This window comes from Homo sapiens, chromosome 8, assembly GCF_000001405.40.
Source record: "Homo sapiens chromosome 8, GRCh38.p14 Primary Assembly".
NCBI classification, from domain to species: domain Eukaryota; kingdom Metazoa; phylum Chordata; class Mammalia; order Primates; family Hominidae; genus Homo; species Homo sapiens.
This window is the reverse complement of record NC_000008.11, coordinates 144,364,393-144,373,087: the sequence shown is the minus strand read 5'-3', so window position 1 is coordinate 144,373,087 and position 8,695 is coordinate 144,364,393. Positions and strand designations below refer to the sequence as shown.

The window sequence follows — 8,695 nt, the reverse complement described above, 5'->3', positions numbered from 1 at the left end:
GGGAGGTTTTCAGGCCTCAAGGCCTTTTCACAACTCTCAGAAGTGGCCCCTCCTCCTCCCACCAATGGCCCCTCCTCCTCCCACCAGTGGCCCCTCCTCCTCCCACCAGTGGCCCCTCCTCCGCCCACAAGTGGCCCCTCCTCCTCCCACCAGTGGCCCCTCCTCCTCCCACCAGTGGCCCCTCCTCCTCCCACCAGTGACCCCTCCTCCGCCCACAAGTGGCCCCTCCTCCTCCCACAAGTGGCCCCTCCTCCTCCCACATGGCTCCTCGTCCTCATCTTCTTACAGTCCTCTTGCTCCTCCCACTGGGACTGAACCCAAAGGCATCTCTTCAATGGGGTGGTCCCTGCCTAGGGAAAGCCGGTGCCTCCAGCCCTTTAGTGCCCCTTCTGTTATGGCGTGTCTCCTGTGAAGTCTCTGTCATCCCCAAGGTCAAGTTTGCTGGGCTCAATGATTCTGTGTGCCCTGCATCACTTTGCTAGCAGGACAGGGATTGGCCTCCAGTCTTCAGTCCCTCATCCCCAAAGCCCAGACTAGAACTTCACAGATGGACCTGGGGCCCCTCCCGGAGCCGGGCTTTCTGGAGTGTTCTCATTTGCTAACATCTGCCTCCCTCGGCAACCTTTCCTCTGTAATGGAACAGGTCCAGAAGAGCCATGTGGGCTGACACAGTAAGGCCTCCAGGCATCTGTGCCGTGACGTGAGCAAAGTGTGAGCTGCATGGTGGGATATGCCATGCCTTGCCTAGGGGCCCGGGCACTGCCATCACAGGGAGGCTTGGCCACCAACCGACATGGCTGCCCCAGGTGGGAAGGGTCGGATGGAGGACTCTGCCACCCACTCTTGGGAAACACCCCCAAAATGAACGAAGGAATGACCTCTGTCCTGTTTTAGCATCCCGGGAGACACACTGTGGCCTAGGATCCTGCCCGGCTGCAGGGCTCTGGATGGGGCGTGACATCCTGCCCCCGAGGGTGTGGCGGGGAGTCGATGTCACACAGCTGAGCCACAGGGCCCAGGGATGTGGTGAAAGCTTTCCCCAGGTCCCAAGTGCCCACAGCCCCTGCCCCATCCAAGACCCAGAAATGCAGCTCACTCTAGCCCTTCAGTGCGGGCCCGCTCTCAAGCCTGTCCGTCACCTCCCAGAACTCCCACGTTCCCAAAACCCTGTGTTCCCAGTCTCTTTGGTCTCCAGAACTGTCATTAAAGAAAGAAGGGGCTAGGCACAGTGGCTCGTGCCTGTCATCCCAGCACTTTGGGAGGCCGAGGTGGGCGGATCACCTGAGGTCAGTTTGAGACCAGCCTGGGCAACATGGTGAAACCCCATCTCTACTAAAAATACAAAAATTAGCTGGGTGTGGTGGCGGGTGCCTGTAATCCCAGCTACTCAGGAGGCTGAGGCAGGAGAATTGCTTGAACCCGGGAGGCAGAGGTTGCAGTGAGCCAAGATCAAGCCATTGCACTCTAGCCCGGACGACAGAGCGAGACTGTCTCAAAAAAAAAAAAAAAAAAAAAAAAGAAAGAAAGAAAAAGAAAAAAGAGAAGGTTAAATAGGTGTTAAGAAGCGTGGCTCTCACATAGCTATAAAATGAGCACGTGTTCATTTCATGTCTCCTGGGCTGAGCACTGTCCCCCAAAAGAACACTGTCCAGGCCAGGCACGGTGGCTCACGTCTGTAATCCCAGCACTTTGGGAGGCCAAAGCGGGTGGATCAGGAGGTCGGGAGATCAAGACTGTCCTGCCCAACATGGAGAAACTCTGTCTCTACTAAAATACAAAAAATTAGCTGGGTGTGGTGGCGGGCGCCTGTAGTCCCAGCTACTTGGGAGGCTGAGGCAGGAGAATCCAGGAGAATTACTTGAACCCGGGAGGCAGAGGTTGCAGTGAGCCAAGATCACGCCATTGCACTCCAGCCTGGTGACACAGCAAGACACTGTCTCAAAAAAAAAAAAAAAAAAAAAGACACTGTCCTAACCCCTAGAGCCTGGGAATGCAAATTTATTTGGAAATGGGATCATTACAGATGAAATTAAGCCAAGGGTCTTTAGACAAAGTCACTGTGGGTAAGGGCAGGCCCTGAATCCAGTGACCAGTGTCCTTACAGGAGAAGAGAGAGGGAGATTTGGGACACAGAGGGAAAGGCCACATGAAGGTGGAGGTAGAAACGGGAGAGGATCACGGCCGAGGCGCCCGGAGCCAGCAGCTCCACAGCAGGAAAGAGAACTGGCAGGTTCTTCCTCAGAGCCTCAGAGAGAACCAACCCTGTTGACACCTTGATTTCAGACCAGTGTTTTTGTTTGTCTGTTTTGTTTACACATACACAGCACTGCAATTTCAGACTTCCGGTTTCTAAAACTGTGAGAGAATAAATTTCTGGCTGTTATTTTTTTATTTTTTATTATTTTATTTTTTTTGAGACCGAGTGTCACTCTGTTGCCCAGGCTGGAGTGCAATGGCGCAATCTTGGCTCACTGCAACCTTCTCCTCCCGAGTTCAAGCGATTCTCCTGCCTCAGTCTCCTGAGTACCTGGCACGATCTCAGCTCACTGCAGGCTCCGCCTCCTGGGTTCACGCCATTTTCCTGCCTCAGCCTCCCGTGTAGCTGGGACTACAGGCGCCCGCCAGCACATCCGGCTAATTTTTTTTTGTATTTTTAATACAGAGTTTCACCGTGTTAGCCAGGATGGTCTCGATCTCCTGACCTCGTGATCCGCCCGCTCGGCCTCCCAAAGTGCTGGGATTACAGGCGTGAGCCACCGTGCCCAGCCCCTGGCACTATTATTTTTATTTTTTTAAGAGACAGGGTCTCACTCTGTGGCCCAGACTGGGGTGCAGTGAGGCGATCATGGCTTGCAGCAGCCTCGACATCCTGGGATCAAGGGATCCTCCCTTCTCAGCTTCCCAAGTAGCTGGGACTATAGGCATGCACCACCACACCTAGCTAATTTTTAAATTTTTCTGTAGAGACAGTGTTTTTTTTTTTTTTTTTTTTTTTTTTTTGAGACAGAGTTTCACTGTTGTTGCCCAGGCTGGACTGCAATGGCACGATCTCTGCTCACCGCAACCTCCGCCTCCCGGGTTCAAGTGATTCTCGTGCCTCAGTCTCTCAAGTAGCTGAGATTACAGGCATGCACCACCACACCCGGCTAATTTTGTATTTTTAGTAGAGACAGGGTTTCTCCATGTTGGTCAGGCTGGTCTCAAACTCCCGACCTCAGGTGATCCGCCCGCCTCGGCCTCCCAAAGGGCTGGGATGACAGGCGTGAGCCACCGCGCCCAGCCCGAGACAGTGTTGATTGCTTGAGTCCTAGTCTCAAGCAGTCCTCCCCACCTCCGCCTCCCAAAGCGCTGGGATTATAGGCAAGAGCCACTTAACTCAGCCCTGACGTGTTGATAGCGACAGGAGGCAGCCAAATGCATAGGCAGATAGGGCGGGTCCCCGGTGAAACCACACCTCCAAGCCAAAAAGCCTGAAGCCTGAAAGACAGAACTGCTGGTCTGGGATGAAACTCGAGACCCAGAGCGAGAACTTCTGTTCCTGTTTGCCTGCCCTTTCCTGATGGGTTCTTTCCGAATAATGCTTTTAGTTTATATTATTATTATTATTATTATTATTATTATTATTATTATTATTTTGAGAGAGAGAGCCTCACTCTGTCACCCAGGCTGGAGTGCAGTAGCACGATCCTGGCTGACTGCAACCTCTACCTCCTGGTGCAAGCAATTCTCATGCCTCAGCCTCCCCAGTAGCTGGGATTACAGGCGAACGTGAATGCTACCACACCCAGCTATTTTTTGTATTTTAGTAGAGATAAGGTTTCACCATGTTGCCCAGGCTGGTCCCAAACTCCTGATCTCAGATGATGATCTGCCTGCCTCAGCCTCCCAAAGTGTTGGGATTACAGGCATGAGCCACAACACCCAGCCTGAATAATGCTTTTAACCAGTTGAATGTTGCCTTCTCTAATACTACCTATGACCTGCCCCTCCCCAATACTGAGCCCATAAAAGCCCTGGACTCAGCCACATTGAGGGGACTTTCCTGCCTTTAAGTAGGGGGACCACCCCCAAATCGCCTCTCTGTTGAAAACTGTTTTATCACTCAATAAACCCCCCACCTATTGTATCACTCAATAAAATCTCCACCCTCACTCTTCGATTGCCAGTGTATCCCCATTCTTTGTGGGTGCAGGACAAGAACTTGGGAACCAGTGCACAAGCCAGACTCGGCCCAGGTGGGGTGAGTGGGCGAGCTGTCTCTGCAGCAGGTATTGTGGCCCAGCGAGGCCCAGGTGGGGCATCGTCGGCTGGAGGTCCCTGGCTTGCAAAGTGACTGAGAATAAAATTGTTCATCAATTTTAAGTCACTAACTTTGTGGTAATTTGTTCTGGCAGCCCTAGGAAATGAGGACAGTGTGTCAAAGGTTCATTTAACTAATTAATTTAGCTGGGTGTGGTGGCTCAGGCCTGTAATGCCAACACTTTGGGAGGCCCAGGCAGGTCCTGAGGTCAGGAGTTCAAGACCAGCCTGGCCAACATGGCGAAACCCCGTCTCTACTAAAATTACAAAATTAACTGGGCATGGTGGCGCATGCTTGTAGTTCCAGCTACTTGGGAGGCTGAGGCAAGAGAATCACTTGAACCCGGGAGGCAGAGGTTGCAGAGAACCGAGATCTCGCCACTGCACTCCAGCCTGGGCGACAGAGCAAAACTCTATCTCAAAAAAAACAAAACAAAACAAAAAAAACTGACCACAGTGGCTCATGCCTGTAATTCCAGCACTTTGGGAGGCTGAGGCAGGCAGATCACCTGAAGTTGGGAGTTCCAGACCAGCCTAACCAACATGGAAAAACCCTGTCTCTACTAAAAATACAAAATTAGCCAGGCGTGGTGGCCCATGCCTGTAATCCCAGCTACTCGGGAGGCTGAGGCAGGAGAATTGCTTGAGCTCAGGAGGTGGAGGTTGCAGTGAGCCGAGATTGAGCCATTGCACTCCAGCCTGGGCAAAAAAGTGAGACCTTGTCTCAAAATAAAATAAAATTAAATTAAATAAAAAATAAATCACACTGGGCCATAAAATGAAGCTGGTGTCAGCAAGTGTGGTCCAATTATTTACATAGGTGCAGAAACAGTGCAAATATCCCATATAGGCCACCTTACGTTTGCTTTGCTGGAAGTTTTCATAAGAAATATCAGATTGGGGCTGGGTGCCGTGGCTCACACCTGTAATCCCAGCACTTTGGGAGGCTGAGGCAGGTGGATCACTTGAGGTCGGGAATTCGCAACCAGCCTGATCAACATGGTGAAACTCTGTCTCTACTAAAAATACAAAAATTGCCGGGCGTGGTGGCTCACGCCTGTAATCCCAGCACTTTGGGAGGCTGAGGCGGGCGGATCACGAGGTCCAGAGATCGAGACCATCTTGGCTAACACGGTGAAACCCCGTCTCTACTAAAAATACAAAAAAAAAAAAAAAAAAAAATTAGGTGGGCATGGTAGCACGTGCCTGTAGTCCCAGCTACTCATGGCTGAGGCAGGAGAATCACTTGAACCCGGAAGGTGGAGGTTGCAGTGAGCCAAGATTGCACCACTGTGCCAGCCTGAGTGACAGAGTGAGACTCGGTCTCGAAAAAACAAAACAAAACAAAAATTAGCTGGGGGTGGTGGCAGACGCCTGTAATTTCAGCTACTCGGGAGGCTGAGGCAGAAGAATCGCTTGAACCCAGGAGGCGGAGGTTGCAGTGATCTGAGATCACACCATTGGACTCCAGCCTGGGTGACAAAAGTGAAACAGTCTCAAAGAAAAGAAAGAAATATCAGAGTGGACCTGTATTGTTTGCTTCTTTGCAGAGGCAAGAAACGCAATACCTATAATTTGGGTCAATTTCTATGTTCCTGGGCCTGCCAGGAAATCACCTTCCTGGTCACCTGCAAGGCCTGGGGTCTGCACCCTCAGGAGGATTTGCAGGCACTCCTTCATAACAGCAACCCAAGGTCCGCAGCAGCGGCTGGTCATCCCCAGTGAAAGAGCAGAACTCTCCATATGACAACCTGGACAAGGCCTTGGTGACCTAACCAATTCATCCAATTGTCTTCTGTAAAAGGAGAAGAGTCTCTTAACTGAATCTATGTGCTGTGGTTTGAAAGTGTCCCCCAGAGTTCATGGATTGCAAACCTGATCCCCAGTGTGGCAGTATTGGAGGTGGGACCTTTTTATTTTTTTCTGAGATGGAATCTCGCTCTGTCATCCCAGGCTGGAGTGCAATGGTGCGATCTTGGCTTGTCGCAACCTCTGCCTCCCAGGTTCAAACAATTCTCCCGCCTCAGCCTCCCGAATAGCTGGGATTACAGGCATGTGCCACCACGCCTGGCAAATTTTGTATATTTAGAGAGACGGGGTTTCTCCATGTTGGTCAGGCTGGTCTTGAACTCCTGACCTAGTGATCCGCCCGCCTCCACCTCCCAAAGTGCTGGGATTACAGTCGTGAACCACCACACCCCGCCAGAGGTGGGACCTTTAAGAGGTGATTAGGTCTTGAGGGCTTCACCCTCATGAAGGGATTAATGCCATTATTTCGGGAATTGATTCCTTATAAAAGGATGAGTTTGGCCCCTTTCCGTCCAGCCACATAATGCCTGCTGGCATGTTATGTGGCAGCAGGAAGGTCCTCATGAGATGTGGCCCCTCCCTCTTGGACCTCCAAATCTCCAGAACCAATAAATCCCAGTTTATTATCAATTACCCAGTCTGTGGCATTATAGCAGCACAAAACGAACTAAGACACTGTAGGGTCCAGCCCTATGGGGCTAAGCGGGTGTTGTCCCCATGTGCAGAGACGAGAGATTGTAGTAAATAAAGACACAAGACAAAGAGATAAAGAGAAAACAGCTGGGCCCGGGGGACCACTACCATCAAGACGCAGAGACCGGTAGTGGCCCCGAATGGCTGGGCGCGCTGATATTTATTGCATACAAGACAAGGGGGGCAGGGTAAGGAGGGTGAATCTTCTAAGTGATTGACAAGGTGAAGCAAGTCACATGATCATAGGACAGGGGGCCCTTCCCTCTTAGGTAGCCGAAGCAGAGAGAGAAGGCAGCAAACGTCAGCGTTTTCTTGTATGCACTTACAAGAAAGATCAAAGACTTTAAGACTTTCACTATTTCTTCTACTGCTATCTACTACAAACTTCAAAGAGGAACTAGGAGTACAGGAGGAGCATGAAAGTGGACAAGGAGCGTGAACATTGAAGCACCACAGGGAGGGGTTTAGGCCTCCGGATGATTGCGGCCAGGCCTGGATAATATCCAGCCTTCCACAAGAAGCTGGTGGAGCAGAGTGTTCCCTGACTCCTCCAAGGAAAGGAGACTCCCTTTCGCAGTCTACTAAGCAACGGGTGACTTCCCAGACACTGGCGTTAGGGCTTGACCAAGGAGCCCTCAAGCAGCCCTTATGCGGGCGTGACAGAGGGCTCACCTCTTGCCTTCTAGGTCACTTCTCACCATGTCCGTTCAGCACCCGACCCTATATCCGCCGGTTATTCCTACGTTTTGTTAGTAATGCAACAAAGAGTAATGGTAAAAGCTAATGATTAATAATGCTTATAATAATGATTGATAATTGTCCATGGTCATCCCTATATCTAATTTGTATTATGACTATTCTTATTCTAAATATTTTCTTTATTATACTGAAACAGTTTCTGCCTTCAGTCTCTTGCCTCGGCACCTAGGTAATCCTCCGCCCACAAGACACCATGCAAATACCTACGTTGCCATGAAAACTGAGGAGGCTCAGTAAGAGCCTCTGAGAATCAAGGGCAGGAGGTGAAAGGACAAATCTCTGGGGAATCTCCAAAATCATGTATTTATTTTATTTAGAGACAGAGTCTCGCTCTGTTACCCAGGCTGAAGTCCGGTGGTACAATCAAGGCTCACTGCAGCCTAGACCTCTTGGGCTCAAGTGATCCTCCTGCCTCAGCCTCCCGAGTAAGTGGGACTGTAGGCTCTCACCACCATGCCCAGCCAATTTTTAATTTTTTGGTAGATATGGGATGTCACTATGTTGCCCAGGCTCAAGTTTTTTTTTTTTGAGACAGAGTCTTGCTCTGTCATAGCCTAGGCTGGAGTGCAGTGGTGCAATCTCAGCTCACTACAACCTCCACCTCCCGGGTTCAAGCGATTCTTCTGCCTCAGCCTCCCGAGTAGCTGGGATTACAGGCGTGCGCCACCACGCCCGGCTAATTTTTGTATTTTTAGTAGAGACGGGGTTTCACCATGTTGGCCAAGCTGGTCTCGAACTCCTTAACTCAGGTGATCCGCCCACCTCAGCCTCCCACAGTGCTGAGATGACAGGTGTGAGCCACCGCACCCGGCTAAGGGTTTCAGTTTCTATCAAGATGTTTTGTCATATCTAAAACCATCTTGGGCCGGGCGCCATGGCTCACACCTGTCATCTCAGCACTGTGGGAGGCCGAGGTGGGCGGATCACCTGAGGTCAGGAGTTCGAGACCAGCCTGGCCAACATGGTGAAATCCCGTCTCTACTAAAAATACAAAAATTAGCTGGGTGTGGTGGTGGGCACCTGTAATCCCGGCTACTCGGGAGGCTGAGGCAGGAGAATCGCTTGAACCCGGGAGGCGGAGGTTGCAGTGAGCTGAGATCGTGCCATTGCACTCCAGCCTGGTGACAGAGCGAGA

General features: G+C 51.1%; 1 long non-coding RNA gene across 1 annotated transcript, besides 4 other annotated features; it reads left to right on the top strand.

The window, feature by feature from the left end:
- Positions 64 to 173: a silencer, noted in NCBI's record as "silent region_19678". NCBI's record gives its function as "represses an Ori minimal core promoter by ATAC-STARR-seq in GM12878 lymphoblastoid cells {active_cell/tissue: GM12878}" and the evidence as "EXISTENCE:reporter gene assay evidence [ECO:0000049][PMID:35858748]".
- Positions 217 to 4,151, top strand: LOC101928902 (uncharacterized). The gene is made up of 2 exons (NR_134307.1): positions 217 to 1,237; positions 3,882 to 4,151. It is a non-coding gene; the product is annotated as an uncharacterized LOC101928902 (long non-coding RNA).
- Positions 819 to 1,319: an enhancer, noted in NCBI's record as "H3K4me1 hESC enhancer chr8:145595436-145595936 (GRCh37/hg19 assembly coordinates)". NCBI's record gives its function as "activates a minimal SCP1, AML or CMV promoter by ChIP-STARR-seq in primed H9 embryonic stem cells {active_cell/tissue: H9 hESC(primed)}" and the evidence as "EXISTENCE:reporter gene assay evidence [ECO:0000049][PMID:30033119]".
- Positions 3,231 to 3,720: an enhancer, noted in NCBI's record as "NANOG-H3K4me1 hESC enhancer chr8:145593027-145593528 (GRCh37/hg19 assembly coordinates)". NCBI's record gives its function as "activates a minimal SCP1, AML or CMV promoter by ChIP-STARR-seq in naive H9 embryonic stem cells {active_cell/tissue: H9 hESC(naive)}" and the evidence as "EXISTENCE:reporter gene assay evidence [ECO:0000049][PMID:30033119]".
- Positions 7,334 to 7,502: a silencer, noted in NCBI's record as "fragment chr8:145589246-145589414 (GRCh37/hg19 assembly coordinates)". NCBI's record gives its function as "represses an EF-1alpha promoter that drives an FKBP-Casp9 reporter gene in an ReSE screen in phorbol 12-myristate 13-acetate-treated (for megakaryocytic differentiation) K562 erythroleukemia cells {active_cell/tissue: K562(+PMA)}" and the evidence as "EXISTENCE:reporter gene assay evidence [ECO:0000049][PMID:32094911]".